At 41.4% G+C, this 24,208-nt stretch overlaps 1 protein-coding gene and 1 pseudogene across 7 annotated transcripts in view; both read right to left on the bottom strand.

Annotated features, from left to right (window-relative positions):
• Positions 1-449: 449 nt before the first annotated feature.
• The window catches only part of PARGP1-AGAP4 (PARGP1-AGAP4 readthrough), a 146,781-nt pseudogene continuing 123,022 nt past the window's right edge, over positions 450-24,208 (bottom strand). Inside the window, exons 11-19 of one of the 2 annotated variants that reach the window (NR_160519.1) lie at positions 21,981-22,168; positions 21,543-21,611; positions 19,182-19,250; positions 16,509-16,543; positions 8,872-8,972; positions 6,250-6,285; positions 2,885-2,936; positions 2,369-2,457; positions 450-2,246 (exon numbers count right to left, since the gene is read on the bottom strand). The product of NR_160519.1 is annotated as a PARGP1-AGAP4 readthrough, transcript variant 2 (transcript). The remainder of the gene's footprint in view (positions 2,247-2,368; positions 2,458-2,884; positions 2,937-6,249; positions 6,286-8,871; positions 8,973-16,508; positions 16,544-19,181; positions 19,251-21,542; positions 21,612-21,980; positions 22,169-24,208) is intronic. The other variant, NR_160518.1, reaches the window with a different exon arrangement.
• The window catches only part of AGAP4 (ArfGAP with GTPase domain, ankyrin repeat and PH domain 4), a 29,097-nt gene continuing 5,338 nt past the window's right edge, over positions 450-24,208 (bottom strand). The window contains exons 2-12 of one of the 5 annotated variants that reach the window (NM_001393378.1): positions 23,699-23,768; positions 22,716-22,810; positions 21,981-22,168; positions 21,543-21,611; positions 19,182-19,250; positions 16,509-16,543; positions 8,872-8,972; positions 6,250-6,285; positions 2,885-2,936; positions 2,369-2,457; positions 450-2,246 (exon numbers count right to left, since the gene is read on the bottom strand). In NM_001393378.1, the coding sequence (NP_001380307.1) occupies positions 2,407-2,457; positions 2,885-2,936; positions 6,250-6,285; positions 8,872-8,972; positions 16,509-16,543; positions 19,182-19,250; positions 21,543-21,611; positions 21,981-22,086 (519 nt within the window). In that variant the 5' untranslated portion in view covers positions 22,087-22,168; positions 22,716-22,810; positions 23,699-23,768 and the 3' untranslated portion in view covers positions 450-2,246; positions 2,369-2,406. Of the gene's footprint in view, positions 2,247-2,368; positions 2,458-2,884; positions 2,937-6,249; positions 6,286-8,871; positions 8,973-16,508; positions 16,544-19,181; positions 19,251-21,542; positions 21,612-21,980; positions 22,357-22,715; positions 22,811-23,698; positions 23,769-24,208 lie in introns of those variants that run through there. The other 4 variants (NR_171664.1, NM_001393377.1, NM_001276343.3 and 1 more) reach the window with 4 other exon arrangements.

Raw genomic sequence — 24,208 nt, forward strand, 5'->3', positions numbered from 1 at the left:
GGCCTCCCAAAGTGCTAGGATTACAGGTGTGAGCCACTGCGCCCAGCCAATCTGTAACCCTCTTATCTCAACTAACTGACATTATTACTTCACATCCAGTTCAATTTATAAATTAAGAGAGGTGCCATGGGCCGGGCACGGTGGCTCACGCTTGTAATCCCAACACTTTGGGAGGCCGAGGCAGGTGGATCACGAGGTCAGGAGTTCGAGACCATCCTGGCTAACATGGTGAAACCACGTCTCTACTAAAAATACAAAAAATTAGCCAGGTGTGGTGGCAGGCACCTGTAGTCCCAGCTACCTGAGAGGCTGAGGCAGGAGAATGGTGTGAATCCGGGAGGCAGAGCTTGCAGTGAGCAGATATCACGCCACTGAACTCCAGCTGGGGTGACAGAGCAAAACATCGTCCAAAAAAAATAAAAATAAAAATGAAAAAGAGGTGCCATGTGTACAAAAATCAATGCATATTTATGAACTTTATTTCAAATATATTTTCACACATTTTATCTAAATACATAATACAGAAGCCTGTGTGACTTGGGCAATGTGGCCAGGAGGGCCTGAGACTAACAAATCCACCTTGGCAAAAGGACATAAAATACGTCTTATGGTCAGAAAAATCAACATTTTGTGTATTTACTTAGTTTACGAAAAGTACTGAAAATGCTATTATTAGCTGAATTTGTGATTTCCTTTTGAAATTCTGAGTTATCCTTATTTTTCCCATTTTGTTTTTGCACCAAGGAGACTGCAGTCAAATAAAACAGATACTACACACACTTGTCGGGGCAGCCGTACTGCAGAAGCACGTTGATGCACTCCTGGCTGGAGGCCTGCCGGGCGTAGGTCAGCGCTGTGTTCCCGTGGGCATCTCGGGCCATGACGTCCACCCCGTACCAGATCAGGAGCTGCGCCAGGACCACATTCCCCTTGCGGCAGGCCAGATGGAGCGCCGTGCAGCCGTCTCCCTCCCCACAGGTCTCGTTCACCTCCTCACGGGAGCCATGTGCCAGCAGCAGGATGGCTGTCTGCAGGTCCTCATCAGCGGTGGCCCGCAGCAGCTGCTGGCCCAGGGACAGCTCAGTGCAGGGTAGTGGGGCCAGAAAGAGCTTCTCCTCATATTTGGAACGGATCCACCGTTCCTTCTCTTCCCTCGTGGACTTTTCTGAGGGTTTTGTCTGCCCCTGGCTGCTCCCTTCCCAGATGCTGTTGGCTAGGTCATTGCCAATAGATGACATAACCTTCCTGAGCTCAACTGGCCAGTCATCCAGCTCCAGAGATCGCACACGGGAAAGGCGGGTGCCAAGACTGCGGTGGATTCCTGAGCATTCAATACACATGAGGACTCCCAAGTTCAAACTGGCCCACTTAGGATTCTGGGTCTCACAGTCCACACAGTGGGCGTTCCCACGCATGTTTTGGATCGACTGCAGGGCCATGGCCTTGCTCTGGCTGGTCAGCTGGGACTTGCTTTTACTGCTCTCGCATGACTGCAGGCTGGCCAGGATCTGGCTCTGGATGGCTTGGACCCAGGCATCCCGCTCCTCATACGTCGTGGCTTCAAAGTGCCACGTTTGGCCAGTGGCAGACACAATCATAAAGTTGTTGGTGCTTTTCTTCTTTAGGTGTTTCTTTTTATTGGCATGAGGAGAGGGGGGCGGGTTGAGCTTGGGGCTGGTGGTGCTGGAGATACTGGGGCTGAAGCATATGGAGTCACCCAGCCCGGTGTCCATGTCCTTGGATAGGCCATTGCTTTTAGAGGTGGAGATGGGTGTGCAGGCCGATGTGGCTAGGGATGGCCACTTTCCTGGGACTTTGATGGTAGATGTCTGAAGGTCAATCTCTTTTTTATGAATATTCTTCATATAATCACCTAAGCTTGAATAATAGGTGAGCACGCCATTGGAACACAGGGTGACGTATTTCTTTTTCCATGTCTTCAGCCATTTCCCACTTCGCTTTAAGAGCATGCCCTGTTTAATGGGGATGGCTCTGCCGCTCCCGATGGTGTCAGCATGATTCTCCGGGGCTTTCCTCTCTTTGTCTGGGTCACTCCCTTTCTCAGATGTAAACAGGTTGGACCAGCGCATGGACCGCTTGCAAACGGGGGTGGGTGTGTTGGCAGTGGGAGGAACACTGAACTGAGGGTCCTCCTGGCTGGTGCTGGGAGTCGATGGAATGGAGGAGGAATAGTTATTTAAACTCCCACCTCCATTTCTTTTCTTCATAATGTGCACGGTGGAAACCTGTGTGGAACAGAAGGAGGAATGGCTTCAAAAATTGGGTAGTGGCTTGCAGGGTCCTATAGACAGCTCACAATTACCTTTTAAAAAGATACATTTTCTGGGCCAGGCATGGTGGCTCACACCTGTAATCACAGCACTTTGGGAGGCCAACGTGGGTGGATCACGAGGTCAGGAGTTCAAGACCATCCTGGCCAACATGGTGAAACCCTGTCTTTACAAAAAAAAAAAAAGAAAAAAAAATTAGCTGGGCATGGTGGCACATGCCTGTAATTCCAGTTACTCAAGAGGCTGAGGCAGGAGAATTGCTTGAACAGGGACCTGGGAGGCAGAGCCTGCAGTGAGCCAAGATCGCGCGATTGCACTCCAGCCTGGGCTACAGAAAGAGAGTCCATAAAAAAAAAAAAAAAAAAAAAAAAGATACATTTTCTGTTGTTTGGATAGTATATTTACTCATACTAGCTCACTAACTAAACAGAGCTGCAGATCAGTTCTTACTCCAGCACATTCTTTTTACAACACTTAAGATGACTAAATGCAACATGAAATGGGGAAGATTTAAAAAAAGATGGCTTTGACTTCAGCATGAAACAGATACAAGTGTACGATGAAAATACAACCTCAATAAAAGTGCCACTTACCGCAAATGAGTGTAACTGTTCATCAGGTATGCTCAAAGATCTATCTGCATCTCTATAAAATAAGAAAGCGCATTACTTCAAAAACTGTTAATATCTTAGTATAATATTTGTTTAGTAAAATACTGCCTCCTGTGTGCTTTGGTGTTTACTTTACCAAAGCAGTTTTTACGAATTCTTCTCTTGGATCCTGACTTGCAGAGGGTTTCCTGACTTCTTCTTTCTCAGCACATCATGGCCTGTACCGTGAAGTCTTTTATATGATAACCAGTCAGAAATGCCCGTGAGTATTGACTCTCCCTAACAGGCCATGGCAATAAACCAAACATATTTTCACTCTTCTAACCACACATTGAAACACAAGAATGTTCTACAAAGCAGTTGTAGTAAACTTTAATAAATGTAAATGTGATTCAGATTTCCTAGCTTCCTTTCTCTTTAGTTCTCTGTAGTATACTCTCATGATGTATTTATGTACTTTCTGTTGTTTGAATGACAAACTCATCTGCCTTTTTAAGACGCCAGTCTTTGATGAACTTTAAACTTTGTAAAACTAATGCATTGTGCCTGTGTATAAACCAGTGGTTCTCCAAATGTGCTCTGTGGACCTCTCGGGATCCCGAAGACCCCTTCCAGAAGGCCTAAGAGGTCATAACTGTTCTTTTTTTTTTTTTTTTTTTTTTTTTTTGAGACCAAGTTTTACTCTTGTTGCCCAGGCTGGAGTGCAATGGTGTGATCTCGGCTCATGGCAACCTTCGCCTCCCAGGTTCAAGTGATTCTCCTACCCCAGCCTCCCAAGTAGCAGGGATTACAGGCACCTGCCACCACTCCTGGCTAAGTTTTGTATTTTTAGTAGAGATGTGGTTTCACCATGTTGGCCAGGCTGGTCTTGAACTCCTAACCTCAGGTGATCCGCTTGCCTCGGCCTCCCAAAGTGCTGGGATTACAGGCCTGAGCCACTGTGCCTGGCCAACACTGTTCTGAATCATACTAATTAAACCTGAGAAAGCTGATGAAAAATTTTAAAAATTTGTGAAAGTAATACAAAGTCATTGCCTGCTTTTTCATTGACACTTGCCATGATTATATAAAAGCAAAAGTGGGTACAATGGCTGGTTTCTCAGCATAAATCAAGGCAGTGGTACCAATTACATTAGTAGTCATTCTATTCTTCACTGTCCCCTACAGGTAAAAAACATAGCCTGAATTTCTTAAGAATGTCTTTGATGAAGCAGTAAAAATTAATGTTGTTAAATCTTGACATGTCTCTAATATTCTGAATAAGTGGAAAGTTAACCAGAAGCGCTTTTTTTTTTTTTGTTTTTAAAGAATCCGTGATTTAACTGTGAACTGAAAAATCACTTTTTTCACAGAACATCATTTTTATTTAAAAGTACAACTGGGCCAGCGCAGTGGCTCACGCCTGTAAAATCCCAGCACTTTGAGAGGCCAAAGCAGGCAGATGGCTTGAGCTCCTTCAGGAGTTCGAGACCAGCCTAGGCAACATAACGAAACCCTGTCACTGTCAAACATATAAGAAAATTAGCCTGGCGTGGTGCCACACATCTGTGGTCCCAGCTACAAAGGAGCCTGAGGTGAGAGGATTGCTTGAGCTGAGATCATGCCAATGCACTCCAGCCAAGTGACAGAGTGAAACTCGGTCTAAAAAACCAGTTCAACTATCATTCTCAAAAATAAATGAAGTGAGAGGTTGTCACTTCAAGGGAAATACGTATTTGTTCCCAATGATAAAATTTAAGCTTTCCTGTGGACTTTGAAAAACTTGTTCCTTCTACTGTAGGCTTGGCAGCTTTTCAATACTTAAAGGCGTGTTAAAGAAAGATTGGTGGTTAAACTAAAAGTGATTTTTGACACAATAAAACATAAACCAATATATTCCAAGTAACTAATGCATGATATTATAAATGCAAGTATGGAGCAAAAGATCCATTTACTGTGCAAGAAAGATCAATGAGTACTGATGGAATAAATTTATTAATATGTAAAATGCCACCGTAACTAATTTAAGAAACCACCACTTGTGAAGTTTTGATTTAGTGTTAACAAATACCCACAACTGTCTGAAAACTTTAAAAATACACCTTCTACCAACTACATATTTGCATGAGGTTAGGTCATCTTATTGCTTCTTTTTTTCTTTTTTTGAGACAGAGTCGCTCTCTGTCACCCAGGCTGGGGTGCAATGGCGAGATCTCGGCTCACTGCAACCTCCACCTCCCAGGCTCAAGCGATTCTCCTGCCTCAGCCTCCCAAGTAACTGGGACTACAGGCATGCACCACCACGCCCAGCCATTTTTTGTACTTTCAGTAGAGGCGGGTTTTACCATGTTGGTCGGGCTGGTCTCAAACTCCTGACCTCAAGTGATCCACCCACCTCGGCCTCCCAAAATGCTGGGATTACAGGTGTGAACCACTGCGCCCCACCAGCTTATTGCTTTTTTTGTTTGTTTGTTTGTTTAGGCAGAGTCTTGCTCTGTCACCCAGGCTGCAGTGCAATGGCACCATCTCAGCTCTCTGCAACCTCCGCCTCCCAAGTTCAAGCGGTTCTCCTGCCTCAGCCTCCAGAATAGGTGGGACTACAGGTGCGTGCCATCATGCCCAGCCAAGTTTTTGTATTTTTAGTAGAGACGGGGCTTCGCTGTGTTAGCCAGGATGGTCTCGATCTCCTGACCTTGTGATCCGCCCGCCTCAGCCTCCCAAAGTGCTGGGATTACAGGCGTGAGCCACCGTGCCCAACCTCTTATTGCTGCTTTAAAGCAAATTGCAAAGAAAGCTCTAGAGAATCCATTTGTCTCCTATTAAGCTCAACATGAGAGACTTTAAATAATATAAATACATGACGCACTTTTTACTCAACTTTTTGTTGTAGAAAAGTTATTTTTCAATGAAAAAATTCTGTTAACAATACTGTTCTCAAGGAATATTTTCTGTTGTTATAACCTGGGTCATGGGTTACTACTGATATCTAGTTGGTAGAGGCCATGAATACTGCTAAACTCTCTGCAATGCACAAGACAGTCCTCACAACAAAGCATTATCTAGCCCATAATATCAACAGTGGTAAGGCTGTGAAATCGAAACTAAAAATAGATTTTGAAAAAATTTCAATTGTATAATTCTACCACACTAAATATCAATATAATCAATATAAACACATACTCTTTGAGATTCTCAATCATTTAAGAATTATGAGAGTCTTAAGGAACAAAGAAAATACAAATAATTTGCTTCAATATTTTAGTAGGCACAATACAGCTTATGATGTCTAGAGCTGTGACCTAACACTGAGCTTGATATCTTGCAAAGTACTTAGCTAGAATAACAAGACAGGTTTCTAAAAAGCTCACCTTTGTGTGATATGATGAGGTATCTCCAAGGTCACACTGTGGAAGGAAAAAAATTCATAACAATAGATGTTAACATTTGTTAGGCCTGAAGACATTTTTTAAAAGGGGGGCAGAGGAAACTCTCCTAGTGGCCCTGAAATTCAAATCTTCTAGTTCAGAACAGTACCATAAGGGCACTTTGTTTTCATTTCTTTGTTTTTTACAAAAATATGAGAACCAAAATGCAAGGAAATATGCCGTTAGAAGACGCGTTTCTGTTGGTGATTACAATATATAAATAATAACAGATTTCCTTGTTATATGCTTTTCTACCCACGAAACCTTTCGTCCCATGCGATTTATTTTATGTATTTATTTATTTTTTGACCCAGAGTCTGTCTCTCTTGCTCAGACTGGATTGCAGTGGTGCCATCTTGACTCCTCACAACCTCCACCACCCAGGTTCAAGCGATTCTCATGCCTCAGCCTCCCAAGAAGCTGGGACTACAAGTTTGTGCCACTATGCCCAGATAATGTTTTTTTGGGGGGTGGGGTGGATGGAGTTTCGCTCTTGTTGCCCAGGCTGGAGTGCAATGGTGTGATCTCGGCTCACCACAACCTCTGCCTCCCAGGTTCAAGAGATTCTCCTGCCTCAGCCTCCCAAGTGGCTGGGATTACAGGCATGTGCCACCACACCCAGCTAATTTTGTAGAGTGAGGCTCAAAACAACTGAGGGAAGGCAAATCTCAATTCTACTAATAGGTCTACACAATATTAGCACTTTTTAAAAAGCCTGTAACATTAGCAGGTAAGATGGATATGTCTATAGTGCTTCAAGTAGTTTTCATCTCTGAAATAATTTTAAAATCACAGAATTTAAAGTTACATGCTGGAAAGGACCAATGACCTTATGTGACATTTAATTCAACACTCGTTTTACAGATCAGGGAAACAGACCTTAAAACTGACTTGCCCAAGGTCCCACCAAATTGGAGCAGTTTCTCGTCCTAAACTCAAATTAAGCAGTGGCTGTCAAACTTTGCTGCACATTAAAATCGCCTGAGAAGCTTTAATATCTGCCTCATCTTCCACATGAGACATTTTAATTTAATTAGTATTGGGTATGGCTTTGGGCATCAAGGTTCTTGGTAAACATTTCCCAGGTGATTTCAATCAGCAGCAAAGTTTGGAATGATTGAGTTGGGGTGAAAATCAGAATCTTCTGGGATGCTTTTCTTCACAGAAAGATGCCTCACATCCATCCCGATTTTCCTAAAAGGCTTCTCAGTGCCTAGAGATAGAGGGAAAGTGGAGATGGGAAGATACATGTGTTTGCAGACTTGTATTTTGAAAAAAACCTTGCATAAGTGATCTCAGCGAGTTCCACCTATCCCACTGACAACAGTGCACTACTGATTCATGATAAAACATTTTTCAAAATATCTTCTTGAAGCCAATTTGCCCTATTAATTTGTTCAATAACTTTATTTCACCAATAGTGAATACACCAAATGATCATTTCTCAAACTTGCTGGTGGCAAATTAAAACTTACTATACTCTCAAAAGTAGACTTCTAAAAAGTAGAATAATGAGGAAAAAAGCACGAAATTTGTTTCAGCAAAATTAATCTTCAAAGCTGCTTTTGAATTATATGCTAACATATCAAAATCTTTGGAACTCAGAAGAAGCCAGGGACTCTAGTCAAAGTAATTTTTGTGTATGTGTGCTCAGAGATTTAAGAGACTTAGCTGACTACAGACATTTAGTGATTACTCAATAGGTCCCAAAGCTCAGGACTTGAGACAGAGTTTGAGTCCAGTTTTTGTTCGAAACACAATTTCCTCTCAACTATTGTTAAAAGGGAGGGAGGAAAGTGACATTATTATGAGTGTAAACTTTCCACTTTTAATTGAAGTAAAAGTTATTGACAATTGAATTAGTTAAAAAGGCTAGTGCATTTGAAACAAAATTGTTTATAAGCTAGTTATGTGTACAGAATGAAAAGTTAAATTAAAGATAAAGACATTAATATTCTAAATTAGCACTTTCCAAACTGTGTTCTAAAAATCAAGACTAATAACCCAAGAAGATGAGAATAATGTACACTGGACAGCCCCTGTGGAGCTGGTGGTGGTGTTGGTTGTTGTTCCTTTTAAAATAAACTTCATCTCAGGGTGCTCTCAAAGCGCATCTTTGTGGCCCACGAGGTGCTCATGCACAATGGGAGAAATTCAAATGCAGATACACTGTGGTGCCAGAAGAAGAAAAGCTGTTCCTTCTTCCAAGGATAATGTCCAAAGTAGTGCACACTGATTTAGGCCTATGATGCATTGAAAAACTAAGTTTCCACAAAAAACATTCAATAAAGGGAACCTATCCTTCTCACTGTGTTCAACATTGTCTAAAGGCATAAAGGCATCAAAAAGATACACTGTTTCTGGGATTGCTTCTTTGCTAACTGATTTTTCCTTCCACCACGACGTCTAAGATTAAAAGAGAAACTGATACTTAATATTCAGAATCTGGATATCAATATATGGTTGACTCCAATTTCTTAAACTGATTGCTGAAAAGGACAACCAAATGACTGAAATAATTTTAGAATAAAGGAATCTGTCCCTCGGCAGCATAGTTGTACTCACGATATTATTGTCATTGTAAGATAATGCTGGATGGCTGTGCTGTCATCAAGGAATATTGTCGAACACAAGCTGTATTGTTGACTGAAACGCACAGTAGATACCTGAAGGGGAAGGGAAGTGTAAGTCAAACTTATCAAAGTGTATTATTTTCTCAGTTAAAATGTCAAATGACAAAGCACTAAGATATGTCTTACACTCCATGAAATGCCTGAGTGTGGTATCATGTGCACTCTATAGAAAACCCATTGGAGGCTCTCAACTTCCAGAGATGATGTTTAAGATATGGGTTATAAAATGCTGCCCTTAATATGGTACCTGTCATCAAACCTAACAAGGATTTTATGAATTACCGTTAAAAATAATGGGAAAAGTCGGCTTCGCGGGGCACGGTGGCTCACACCTGTAATCCTAGCACTTTGGGAGGTGGAGGCGGGCGGATCACGAGGTCAAGAGATCGAGACCATCCTGGCTAACATGGTGAAACCCCGTCTCTACTAAAAATACAAAAAATTAGCCGGGCGTGGTAGCAGGCCCCTGTAGTCCCAGCTACTTGAGAGGCTGAAACAGGAGAATGGGGTGAACCCAGGAGGCGGAGCTTGCAGTGAGCCGAGTTCGCGCCACTGCACTCCAGGCCGGCAGACAAAGTGAGACTCCGCCTCAAAAAAAAAAAAAAAAAAAAAAAAGAAAAGTTTAAAATAAGATTTCATTTTTTTTTCTGCAGCAATAAAAAGCAGCTGAGAATTTCTATTAATTAATTAATTTATTTATTTATTTTTGAGACGGAGTCTCGCTCTGTCGCCCAGACTGGAGTGCAGTGGCGCGATCTCGGCTCACTGCAAGCTCCGCCTCCCGGGTTCACGCCATTCTCCTGACTCAGCCTCCTGAGTAGCTGGGACTACAGGCGCCCACCACCGTGCCCGGCTAACTTTTTGTGTTTTTAGTAGAGACGGGGTTTCACCGTGTTAGCCAGGATGGTCTCGATCTCCTCACCTCGCGATCTGCCTGCCTCAGCCTCCCAAAGTACTGGGATTACAGGCGTGAGCCACGGCGCCCAGCCCTTCTATTATTTATTTACTACGATAAAATGTAATGTATTAAATAATCCTGCTACAAGAGCATTTTATTGCAGTGAATACAAGACTAATGCATTTACTAAATTACTAATCCTAAATGTATTATTTCAGGTGATATTGTTACAAAAGAAGTGTTTCAGATTCAGAGGCTCTGTGTGTCAGGGCTGCTAGGCCACCAACAAGTGAGGAAGCCATAGGTTTCTCTAGTCCTATTTTCTTATGTGGAGGATAAAAAGAGTATCACTTACATATTCTCTCACACCCTGAAAACAAATGACAACTTAAAAAATCTAACTTTCACTTCATGTTTAAATAAGACTGCCAAGACATGACTCAAATGAGACTCTCGGAGAATACTTTGCATTCACTTCAAAACTTGATCAATTGCATTCTATAAATCATCTGACCTGCACCTAGCCATTTTCCTGCTCTACCCCTGCTCTCTGCCTAGAATACTGCTTTTCTCTTTCCTTGCTTCAGCAAGCTCGACTCCATCTACCCTCTTGGATCTCTTTGTCGGCAGCCACACCAAAAAATGTATTTTTATACACTAATTAGTTGAATTCACCACTGCTTACAAGATGCTAATTCCTGCAGAGTATTCCCCTTGTGAGAAAGTATGCCTCTCCATAAGAGTAAGGGAGGGCCCTTACTCTTCCTACCTCCAGCTGCTGAGCATAGAATTTTGAGTAAATCCAAAACTTCGACAAGTGTTTGACAATTCAGTTATCATTTGGAAGGTAAGTCTTACTACATTTAATTACAGCAAAAACACTACTAACAGTTTACTCTTTATAGGTATTATTTAAGGTAGTCACAAAATAGAAACAAACACTCTAACGTCAGGCAGCATAAATGAGAGTATGAAATTTTACAATATTTAACAAGAAATGGAAGGGGTTACTTAGTAGTTTTAAGGTTTAATGACAAAAACTAGAAAATAATCGTACCTAGTAATTTAGTAAGTCAAAACCAAAGCCTTACCATCAAAGGTGCAGTACCCATTGGATGCGGATGCCCACGCACTGACTTCTTCTGCTGTACCTGCTGCCTCTCATTTTAACCCATTAAAAATACTAAAGTTGTTTTCCTTGTAGACATCTTTCACCTCCTTGGTTAGGTCTATTCCCAAGTATTTTATTTTAGTTTAGTTTAGTTTTGCAGCTATCAGAAAAGGGGTTGAGTTCTTGGTTTGATTCTAAGCTTGGTCGCTTCTGGGGTATAACAGAGCTACTGATTTGTGTACATTAATTTTGTCTCCTGAAACTTTGCTGAATTCATTTATCAGTTCTAGGAGCTTTTTGGAGGAGTCTTTAGGGTTTCCTAGGTATATGATCATATCATCATCAAACAGCAACAGTTTGACTTCCTCTTTACTGATCTGCATGCCTTTTATTGTTTTCTCTTGTGTGATTGCTCTGGCTAGGCCTTCCAGTAGTATGTTGAATACAAGTGGTGAGAGTGGGCATCCTTGTCTTGTTCCAGTTCTCGGGGGGAATGCTTTCAACTTTTCCCCCTTTCAGTATCATGTTGGTTGTGGGTTTGTCATAGATGGCTTTTATTATATTGAGCTGTGACCCTTGTATGCTGATTTTGCTGAGGGTTTTAATCATAAAAGGATGCTGCATTTTGTCAAATGCTTTTTCTGCATCTGTTTAGATGATCATGTGATTTTTTGTTTTTAATTCTGTTTATGTGGTGTATCACATTTATTGACTTGTGTATGTTAATCCATCCCTGCATCCCTGGTATGAAACCCATTTGATCATGGTGGATTATCTTTTTTTTTTTTTTGAGATGGAGTCTCGCTCTGTTGCCCAGGCTGGAATATGCAGTGTGGTGATCTTGGCTCACTGCAACCTCTGCCTCCGAGGTTCAAGCGATTCTCCTGCCTCAGCCACCTGAGTAGATGGGATTACAGGTGAGCGCCACCACACCCGGCTAACTTTTGTATTTTTAGTAGAGATGGGATTTCACCATGTTGGCCAGGCTGGTCTCGAACTCCTGACCTCATGATCCGTCCGCCTCAGCCTCCCAAAGTGCTGGGATTACAGGTGTGAGCCACCGTGCCTGGCCCGATTATTTTTTGATATGCCGTTGGGAACTACAAAACGTTGCTGAATGAAGTCATGGACACAAACAAATGGAAAGACACCCCATGCTCATGAATGGGTAGAATGAATATTGTGAAAATGACCATACTGCCAAAAGCAATCTACAAATTCAATGCAACTCCCATCAAAATACCACCATCCTTCTTCACAGAACTAGAAAAAACAATCCTGAAATTTATATGGACCAAACAAGAACCGGCACAGCCAAAACAAAACTAAGCAAAAACAACAAATCTGGAGGCATGACATTACCTGATTTCAAACTATACTATAAGGCCATAGTCGCCAAAATAGCATGGTACTGATATAAAAATAGGCACATACACCAATGGAACAGAATAGAGAACCCAGAAATAAACTCAAATACCTATAGCCAACTGATTTTCAACAAAGCCACCTAAAACATAAAGTGAAGAAGGTAAACCCTATTCAACAAATGGTGCTGGGATAATTGGCAAGCCACATGCGGGAGAATGAAACTGGATCCTCAACTCTCAGCTTACACAAAAATCAACTCAAGATGGATCAAGGACATAAATCTATGACCTGAAACCATAAAAGTTCTAGAAGATAACATTGGAAAAACCCGTCTAGACGCTGGCTTAGGCAAAGACTTCATGACCAAGAACACAAAAGCAAATGCAACAGAAACAAATAGGTGAGACTTAACTAAAGAGCTTCTGCACAGGAAAAGGAACAATCAGCAGAGTATACAGACAACCACAGAGTGGGAGGAAATCTTCACAGTCTATACATCTGACAAAGGGCTATTATCCAGAATCTATGAGGAACTCAAACAAATTACAATTACAAAAATATGGAACCAGCTCAAATGCCCGTCAATCAATGAGTGGATAAAGAAACCGTGATATACATACATATATATATATATATGAGGAATACCACCTCAGCCATAATAAGGAATAAATTCATGGCATTCCCAGCAACCTGGATGGAAGTAAGACTATTATTCTAAGTGAAATAACTCAGCATGGAAAACCAAATATCATGTTCTCTTTCATACGTGGGAGCTGAGCTATGAGGATGCAAAGCCATAAGAATGATACAATGGACTTTGGGGACTTGGGGGAAAGGCTGGGAGGAGGGTGAGGGATAAAAGACTACAAATTGGGTTCAGCGGATACTGCTCAGGTGACGGGTGCACCTAAATCTCACAAATCATCACTAAAGAACTTAGTCATGTCACCAAATGCCACCTGTTCCCCCAGAAACCTATGGAAATAATAAATAAATAAATAAAGTACAGCATTTTTCTCAGCAAACATAAAATAAAACAAAGACTAAAGTTCATATTTTTCACTCTCCTTTTGGGCAGGACAAATTTTAGATAGGTTTTTAAAGAATTAGTAACTTTTTTCCTTTTTCCGAGACAGGGTCTCCCTTTGTTGCCCAGGCTGGAGTGCAGTGGTGCAATTATAGTTAACTGCAGCCTCAAACTCCTGAGCTCAAGCGATCCTCTGCCTCAGCCTCCTGAGTAGGTAATACGAAAGGCGCATGCCACCAGGCCTGGCTAATTTGTTATTTAACCTTTTTGTAGATATGAGGACTTGCGATGTTGACCAGGCTAAAAATGAACAAATCTTAATTAACTTAAATATTTCTAACACTTTGGGCATTCAGGAAAACAGCTCCATCTATGTTGTGAAGTAATGGGAAGTATATGGCAGTGGATAAACTTTGAATGAAAATATTAAACAAGGCCTTAGGAGAAAAGTGTAATATGCTTATTATAGATACATTAATTTAAAAAATTCTCTGGCTTAATATCATTAATTATACTCAAATTAGACTTTGATTTAAACACAGGTCCTAAATTTGGATTAAATATAATAGATTGACCACAAATTTATTTCGTCTCCCTCCGGAAGCCTCATCAGTCATAAAATAAAGGTTACACCCATGACCAGCACAGAAGGTTGACAGAGATAATTTTTAATAAATGCTGAGACATAAAAAGTAGATAAAGGAGTGGTAAATAACACAGAAACACAACTTTGGTGCCTACAGAAAGTGACTGGAACAGAAGCGAGCCAGTTTGTCTTGCAGAACTAAAGGCAGGTTGTGAACTTACAGGCAAATGGCACTTTGGAAAGTAGGGTAAAATGTGAAAAAAAAAAAAAAGCCAGCAAGGTCAGTTGCAAATCTCTAACTAGAGCCCCAAGTCCACCTGTCCTTCCATCTGACAAGAAACTTAGATGTGTGTTCTCTGGATATATCAAACCTGAGAATTTCTGGCTCAGAGATACCATGGCTTAAACCTGAGATATAAAGAAAACTGTACACCAAAAATGGAACTCCAACTTTCTTCGCTAACTCTGCTTTTCCTTTCCAGGCCTGCTTTTACTTTCCAGGCAGAAAACTGGGAGATCCTTCTCAGAAGAAACTGAAATGTCTTCAAAAAAGATCCCCAGATAATACACTGAGGTCTCCCAAATGAAAAGCTAGTCAGGCTTCTAAGGCCTCACACTGAGTGCTATCAGTTAACAGAAATCCTGCTTCCAAATAAAGCAGGCCAGGAACCACCACACATTGGAGGGAAGCCTCCAAGAAAAGAGATCAAAACAATAGAAAAAAGGAATTGATAGGACCAGTCAAAATCAGGAGCAAAACTTTAAAAAAAAATCTTAAAACACTCTCAAAAAATATAAAATTCAATAGAAATAGTAGAGGATAAAGTCACAGAATATCCCAGAACTAGAATAAAAAGACAAACTGAAAAAAATACAAGGGGAAAAATTAAAAATCAATGCAGGCGTACTGGTCTAAGCAGCCTAGCATCTGAATAACAAGACTATCAGTAAAAAAGTAACAGAGAAAATAAAAAAAAAAATTCTCAAGAAGAGATAGTCTGCAGGTTTAGTAGCCTCAATAAAATGAAAAGATCCCCAACAAGCTGTTATAAAATTTCAGAACCTTAGAGAGAGAGATTCTAAAAAGCTTCCGCAGATAACTAAAACCTGGTTGTAAATAACATATCACACACTGGCAATAGATTCAAGAACAACACTGTAATAAGAGCACAACTGCAAAATGTCTTCAGAACCATACAATTTAGATTCAACCTAGAGGTGTACTCTCTATCAAAGAGGAGGGATTTTAACATCTCCACACAGGAAAATGTGTTCAAGTACAACTAGAGACGATAACAGGACAGAAGGAAACACAGAATCTAGGACTCAGGCGATCCCACACAAGACAGCAGTTACATGAGATACCAAAAGACTTTAAAGAGTTAGCCCAGAAAAGCAGACATTGAGCATATCTAGGGAAACCCACGCTATATTGAACTAGGATGACAAAAGGCCAAAGAAAGTTGCCCCCCACACAAACATAAAAAGGAACAGATGTGTTTTCGCAGATGGAAAATATCTTTGAAAGGCATGTGATAAATGCTACAATACTTGGGGGAAAACAGCTGTTAGAAAACAGGCAAATGAATATAGTCAGAAAATTAGCTTCATGCTAAAAAATAATGGATGTGAAAGCAAACAGAGCACCCAGAGGCTACTTAACGATATTTGGATAGATAAACTAACGTAGGCTAGGAAAAAAGAAGATCCAGGAGAATTGCAGAAGTGCTCAGATTTCAGAACTGTTTCAGAGACAGGATGAAGGACATGGAATGCAGAGGCACAGTGAAAACACCATATGACTTAGCAGTGAATAATATTTGCAGAGTCATAATCATGTAAATATTACTGATTTAATTAAAAAGTGTGCTACAATTGGAAGAAACACAGGGAGAAACATAAGATCATGGTGTAGCGGGGAAGGTATGCTTTTACCTGCTGTGACAGAAAGTCAATAGACAGTGCTGGCAATTAACTTAGCTATTCTATTTTTGTTCTTTCATTAAAAATAAGATTAAATATTTAAGGCAATTTTTTTTTTTTTTTTGAGACAGAGTTTTGCTCTGTCGTCCAGGCTGGAGTGCAATGGCGCGATCTTGGCTCACTGCAACCTCCGCCTCCTGGGTTCAAGTGATTCTCCTGCCTCAGCCTCCTGAGTAGCTGAGATTACAGGCATGCACCACCACGCCCAGCTACTTTTGTATTTTTAGTAGATACAGAATTTCACCATGTTGGTCAGGGTTGTCTCAAATTCCTGACCTCAGATGATCAGCCTGCCTCGGCCTCCTAAAGTGTTGTGATTACAGACGTTAGCCACCATGCCCAGCCTTAAGGCAGATCTTTTGAACCGGACTATTGAAATTTAACTTAAATGTCAGAAATCTTTAAAAGGTGGACACGCTAAACTAAGCACTTTTCTGGATAAATTTAATACTCAGGAAAATAGAAGAGATTTAGAAAATCCACAAAAAGAGGTCCATGCTACCACCACCAGGTCCACATTGTAATTTAAAGAAATCAAGAGAGACATCCTTTTATGTCAAACTATCAATTTCTTAACTATTTGAGTGTTTACTTACATGGTTTGTACAGTTGCTTCTTCTTATTTCTACAACTAAGAATAAAAAAAAAAAAACTGGTCACTTCTGATACAAATACCATAAAATAAAAGTAGTTGTTAACATCTTACTGATTACTCCTATGAAAAATGAGACAAAATTCCATTAAAAAAAAAATTTTCAATAACATATAATTTAAATTATCTGGCATGATTAATTTCATAAGTCAAATCTAAAAACTTAGATTTTCATTTAGTTTACTTTTTGTTTCTATTACACACAAATGAAAGAATCCTCATGTACAAAAGAAAAGGGCAAAAAAATTAGGCCAGATGAAAAATTTAGCTAATAAAAAGTTTAACTGTTGCATATATGAGCCATGATCCATTAGTATTCTCTCATTCTGCATTTACACATAGCTTACTTTAATTATCAGACTCTAAGAGCTAACAGTTCTAAAAACTACTTCCTGACCAGACACCTATCTCTAGATGCAACAGAATCCCTGTAAGCATCTTGAACCACACTTAGTGGTTATCTACTAATATGTCACTAAAAACAAAACAAAATTAAAAAATGGTCTTTACACAACTGGAAAGTAACCTATCTTAAATTTGTTTTCTTTTTTGAGATGGAGTCTCACTCTGTCACCTAGGCTCGAGTGCAGTGGCGGGATCTCAGCGCACTGCAACCTCTGCCTCCCAGGTTCAAGCAATTCTTCAGCCTTAGCCTCCGGACTAGCTGGGACCACAGGCACGTGCCACCATGCCTAGCTAATTGTTTTTTGTATTTTTAGTAGAGACAGAGTTACACTGTGTTAGCCAGGATGGTCTTGATCTCCTAACCTCGTGATCCACCCACCTCAACCTCCCAAAGAGTTGGGATTACAGGTGTAAGCCACAGAGCCTGGCCTAAATTTTGATGTTAAAATAAGTATACAAACCTAATTGGACATGGTGTCTGCAGCACAAAAAATCATTTTTTTTCCCTAAAAAGAGGCCAGAATAATAAAAGCCCCAAGAGGGACTTGGGCCATGCTTTGTTTCCTACACTGCCTCTGCCTTTGATGCTGGGAGGGCCTTGTAGGCAAAAGTTACTACCACTGAAGAGTGAGGGACATGGAATAGCTTTTCTTTTACTGCTTCCATGCTCTCTAGGTGTGAGAAGCCCATGCCTCTGGAAGGAACTGGGAAATACAATTCTGATATGTTTTGGATATGTTGCCCCTCCAAGTCTCATGTTAACATGTGACCCTTAATGTTGGAGACAGGGCCTAGTGGGAGGCGTTTGGGTAATGGCAGTGGATTCCTTATGAATGGCTTGGTCCCATCCCCATGGTAATAAGCACATTCTCATTATGGTAATTTAAAAGACTGTGGTACTGGCCAGGTGCGGTGGCTGAAGCCTGTAATCCCAGCACTTTGGGAGGCTGAAGCGGGTAGATCACTTGAGGTCAGGAGTTTCAGACCAGTCTGGCTAACATGGTGAAACCCTGTCTCTACCAAAAATACAGAAATTAGCCAGGTGTTATGGTGCCCACCTATAGTCCCAACTACTCGGGAGGCTGAGGCAGGAGAATTGCTTGAACCTGGGAGATGGAGGTTGTAGTGAGCCAAGATCGTGCCATTGCACTCCAGCCTGGGCAACAGAGTGAGACTCCATTTCAAAAAAAAAAAAAAAGAGTGTGGTACCTTCCCCCTTCCCCTCTCTCCTCCCTCTTTCACGGTGTGGAACCACCTGCTTCCCCTTTGCCTTTTATCATGATTGTAAGTTTGCTGAGGCCCTCACCAGAAGCAGATGTTAAAGCCATGTTTGTACAGCCTGAAAATCTTTGAGCCAATTAAACCTCTTTTTGTTATAAATTACCCAGCCTTAGGTATCTCTTTATAGTAATGTAAAAAATGAAGACAAATTCTAACCAGAAATAACTGACTCAAGATGGGCAAAGTCTACTCAAACTATAAAAACAAAGGTTACAAACTCCCGTGTTTTACTGTGCTGCATTACTTCGCACATTATAATAGAACCCTCACTTGTGTTCTTGCTGTTTAAGTCAACTGGAAAACTTGGCTGTGTATGGCTTGTTGGCAAATAAATGAGGATTTAATATAACATTAAGGGAAATAAGCAGGAGTAAGGCATGTTTAAATTTACATTATATCAAATGAAAAAGTTAATAACCTAAAACTTTTGAGTAGCGTAAACTTGGATGTGGTAAATGAATGTGGTCAGAGGACTGTGTAAGAGGAGGCCCAAATCACAGATTCAATCCCTGATGATAAACGACTATGTTTTTTAATTTGTTTAAATGAAAACCAAGCTGAAGTTCTATCATTCATCTTTAAAATGTACTTTTTGGAGCAAGGGAAAAGGGATTGTAAATAAAGATGAATCCATTAATTATAAATAAAGATAAATCCAAGAATTATAAAGAGAAATCCATGACTCCTCCATCACATCACAAATTAATTGTGTTGATAAAAAGATGGCAAAATGTATAAACAAAAAGGTTACACGTTTTCACTAACATCATAACAACTAAAGGAAAGTATATCACATATTAAAATAAGACAAGGGAACATGTGAAAAGATGAAAATTTTAAACCAATATGAGTTTTTCTAAATACTTTCTATAACCTGATCAAACAAGAGCTTTTATTCTTTCTCTTGGTGGAAAAAACAATGTCGTCTCACCATCTGTTTGAGAGTTCCTCTGGAATATTGTGCTTGCCTCTGGATTGGCAGAAGGGTTAAACTCCAAAGCTATATGCATAGAGGAAGAAAAGAAAAAAAGATGTAATCATTGATAAAAATTTATCAACTCGTTTATTCGACTGCTGCATTTAGGCTATTTCACTATCTCTACTTTGATTCTTATCCATTGAAATGAATGTATAGACATAAGAGAGAGCCAGGCAAGATGGCACATGCTTGTAGTCCCAGCTACTCAGGAGGCTGAGATGGGAAAATCACTTGAACCCAGGTCAGGAAGTTGAGGCCAGCATGAGTAACATAATGACACCCTCCTTTATTTAAAAAAAAAAAAAAAAAGAAGAGGTAAATTTTGGCTTTGAGTTGTGTAAAATCAACTTTGCATAAAATAAATCAAGATGGCAGTAAGTTTTAAAAGACAGGTCTATTTTATAGGCAAAATATAAGATGTATTCTAGAGTTTTTAAAATTTTTAAAAAGTAAATTCATCATATCTGTCACTTCCATTTCATTCTGAGGACACAGAACCTTAGTTCTCTTGAGTAGCTGTCTTCCATAGTCATGTGATATCTCTAAGTTTTCATTTCTTCGTTAGCAACACATAGGGAGAACATACACAGGCCTTATTTGTATTGGAAAGGGCCAAGTGAGACATACATAAACTGTGTTGTAATCCTAAAGAATGACAATAAAGAGCCATTTTTGGGCTCTCATCCAACACTACCCATCTACTAACTGGTGTGTAACATCCATCAGGCTTTCCGAACATCACCAAGCAGAGTATAAGTTTACACAAGTACTTACATGCTTTGTGTATAAAGGTACAATCAATTAATTCACATAATACATTTGTTTATTCTAAAGCAATCCTTAAATATCTTGAAATGTGAAGATAGTACTTCCAAGTTACAAAGTCACACTCATAATGAGTCTTAATTATCCTACCTCTTTAAAAATTAAGAGCGCAACCAAAGTTTAAATAGAAGAGCTATAAGACATTTCCTCTACAGTGATGAAATCTCTGGCATTTAAATGAAAACAATAAGCCTACTGGATGTAATATGTTTATGATGCAATGTTTTCTATTTTGAAAATTTCAGTTTTTATTCAAGAACCATATTATTACCCAGAATTACTTTTACTTAGATTCATCTCTTTGCAAAATTTTAGAGGCAAACGAACTAATTGTTTTCTCTTTTCTACCGGCTCCCATCCCCTGCCTCTGCCAGCAGTGTAGAGACTAAAAAACTCCAACTTTCTTTCCTTTTTTTTTTTGTGAGACGGAGTCTCGCTCTGTCACCCAGGCTGGAGTGCATTGGCGTGATCTCTGCTCACTGCAACCTCCACCTCCCAGGTCCAAGCAATTCTCCTGCCTCAGCCTTGTGAGTAGCTGGAACTACAGTCATGTGCCACTACGCCCAGCTAATTTTTGTATTTTTTTTTTAGTAGAGACAGCGTTTCACCATGTTGGCCAGGCTGGTCTGGAACTCCTGACCTCAGGTGATCCGCCTGCCACGGCCTCCCAAAGTGCTGGGATTACAGGCGTGAGCCACCAAGCCCAGCCAAAACTGTAACTTTCTTATCTTTGAACAAGATGCTATTGTCAGGAGGGGAAGGGACAAAGGGGGAGCCATGGCAACAAACACTCTTACAGGGAAGGTCTGACATTTTAACCTGCAATCTTTATATTACACATTGAAAGTCTACATTGACGTTTCATGTCTTTTGAAAGTTTTGACCATGAACCAATCCCCACCTCTCTTTTAGAACAAGGAGGTAAATAAAGTCTGTTAAGTCACCAGAATAAATCTGGAGACACATTTTCTGTTAAAGTAAGAACTTTAACAGAAAAGAGCTTCATAGGTAAACTCCTTTGAGAAACCCCAAACACACACACACAACCATTTTTCTGCAGCCCCGGCTGTGACATTTCACACCTTTCACAATTATTTTAAGCACTCTCCTTTTTTCTTTTTCCTTCTGTGTTCAAATTACAGTTAGAAGAAACTAAGCAGCTTCTATCAAGGTGACTTAAAGCAGCCCATTAAGAATACCATATAGCCTCTCCCATGGCAAACTCCATTCTGATTTTAAATAAGAAATCCCCAAATATTTGAATAGGAACTGTCTTGAGATTTGGCTACTTTAACAAAGGAAACAATTAGGCACTTACCTGGTTCCTTCACTTAGGTACCATCTGGATAGGTACAAAGAAAAAATAAGATGGGTACTGAAAAGTTGGGATATTTGAGTTTTTATTGAGAAAAGGAAGAGAATAGCTCAAAGAAGCCTAAACAAAGTCCCACAGGATAATAAACAGAGCTACAGACACTGTTGTCTCACCATCTGTTTGAGAGTTCCTCTGGAATATTGTGCTTGCCTCTGGATTGGCAGAAAGGTTAAACTCCAAAGCTATATGTATAGAGGGAGAAAAGAAAAAAGATGTAATCATTTATAAAAATTTATCAACTCATTTATTCAACTGCTGCTTATTCGACAAGAGCCATAAATAAATGGTCCCATGCCAGCCTGGGAGAATGAGATGAGAGAGCAAGAACTGGGCGATTGGGAGGGGAGGCGAAAAGAAACTGACTGGACTCGGTGGGGAAATACTAAGGGGTGGGAATTCAAGGCAGAGCCAGCTTTTGTTCCTGGCCAGCTCCCGGGAAAGCTGGCTACAAGCAGAAAGGAGCTCGAAGTGGGGGATGCCTCAAAGGGAACCTTGGGGACAGTAGCAGCCAGAGGCAAACCGAGGGTAGATGGCACCTATCACCTCCTCACCTTCAGGCATCTCCCGGTCACGAACGTGGTGCATGTGGAGGTCCTCACCAACTTCAACAGTCACCTCAGCAGGCTGTACAGCAGCAGCCATGGGCGCTCCTGCCATCCTGTCCCCAGCTCCTGCCTCATAGATCTCAGATTCAGAGGGACACACCGACCCCTGCTGCTGGTCAAACTCGAGGCTGACGCTAGGGTGCACACGACAGGTCAGTATGTTCCCCATGGGGCGCCTCTACTGTCTGCCACCACCTGTGCCTCTGCTCACAGCTTTGGCCACGCACTCCCGCTGTCCTAGGCCGAGGCTATGCTGCACTTGCAGAGATGGTCTTCCCGCTCCTCGCCTGCCCACCTCACAGCGCGGCCCCGGGCACCAGCCCTGGCCCTGGCCCTGGCCCCGGCCCCGGCTAGGGCTGCGGGCCAAGGCCCGCACCCTGCTGCCTCCCCTGAGTTGACTTGTCTGGGAGGGTGAAGACCAGCCGGCTTATTTAATAGGTTGTGAACCCAACAAGTGCTGAGAGACACAACAACTGCCTGAAGAGAGAACAGACGGAGCTCCTCCTCCTTCTGTAGTCACCTACAGACTGAAGCCCACTGGCCCCAGGTGGGAGCCCAGGCATGTGGCACACAATGCCCCACCCCACACTTCACAATGCCCTCCCCGACACCTCACAGTGCCCCACCCTGCCTGCCACCCCTCCCCAACAGCTCAGAATGCCCCTGCCTTGGCTGCCCCACCCTGTGGCTTATGATGCTGCTGCTCTCCTGGCCCCTCGTGCAGTGCCATTGGGACTAAGGTTTTCATTCATCACCAGCTTCCTGAGATTTTAGTCCTAAGAAAAGCAAAGGGTAGTTCATTACTTGAAGCCATCTTCCTCTATGAGTTCTATACAAAGCCTCAGTAGAGTGGGTCCAATTAGCAACCAAGTTGAACAACTTTTATTTGCTGACTAAATATAGATACACCTGAATTGTTGACTGCTTTTGTAACTAAACACTCCTCTCCTGTCTTCCAACGAGTGGTCATTTTTGTCCGCAACTTGACCACAGCAATCCCTGGGGCCCTAGCTCTACTCTCAATAAAGAGTTATGGCTGTGTGTTTTGAATGACACCTTAGGACCCATCCTGCCTCCACCTCCTTCTCCATAAAATAGAAACCTAACTTGCCCCTCCAAGCTCTGAAATGCTGAAACTTACCAACTCCCTTTTCTCCCCGCTATTTCTTCCTTCCGTGGCAGGGACTTTCAGGTTTTCTTTCTTTTACTAACAAGGCACTAAGCATGATTTTCTCATACAAAATCGAGAGCCATAAAGTGGCTTACCACAGTCCTATTTCAATAAAGATGAATACTCGACATCTGGCAAGTAGTGTGTGCCTGACAGTGTCCCCACTGTGCTATGCTCATTTAACCCTCAGAAACAATCTCATGTTACAGATTTTGCAGAAGTTGTTGAGACGGAGAAGGTAAGCAACCTCCCCAAGGTCACATGACTGCTAAGGGTGGGGCCATAGTTTGATCCCAGCTAGTCTGAATTCCCCAGTTGCTTAAGCATGATTATCAGAAAGTATAGCAGTCTGTTTTCACACTGATATAAAGAAATACCTCAGGTTGGGTAATTTTTAAAGGAAAGAGGTTTAACTGACTCAGTTTCACATGGCTGGGGAGGCCTCAGGAAACTTAGAATCATGGCAGAGGGGGAAGTCCTTCAGGAAACTTACAATCATGGCAGAAGGGCAGGTCCGACTTCCATGGTGGCCGCACAGAGAGTGGGAACATGTGAAGGAGCAACTGTCAAACATGTATAAAACCATCAGATCTCAGCTGGGCACGGTGGCTCACACTTGTAACCCTAGTACTTTGGGAGGCCAAGGCAGGTGGATCAACTGAGGTCAGGAGTTTGAGACCAGCCTAGCTAATGTAGTGAAATCCTGTCTCTACTAAAAATACAAAAATTAGCTGGGTGTGGTTGTGCATGCCTGTAATCCCAGCTACTCAGGAGGCTGAGGCAGGAGAATCACTGGAACTCAAGAGGCAGAGACTGCAGTGAGCCAAGATCGTGCCATGGCACTCCTGCCTGGACAACAGAGCAAGACTCCATCCCAAAAAACAAAACAAAACAAAACCCTATAAGATCTCATGAGGACTTACTGAATATCACAAGAACAGCATGAGGATAACTGCCCCCGTGATCCAATCACCTCCCCCTAGGCCCCTCCCTCGACACATCA

This window comes from Homo sapiens, chromosome 10 (assembly GCF_000001405.40).
Source record: "Homo sapiens chromosome 10, GRCh38.p14 Primary Assembly".
NCBI lineage: Eukaryota > Metazoa > Chordata > Mammalia > Primates > Hominidae > Homo > Homo sapiens.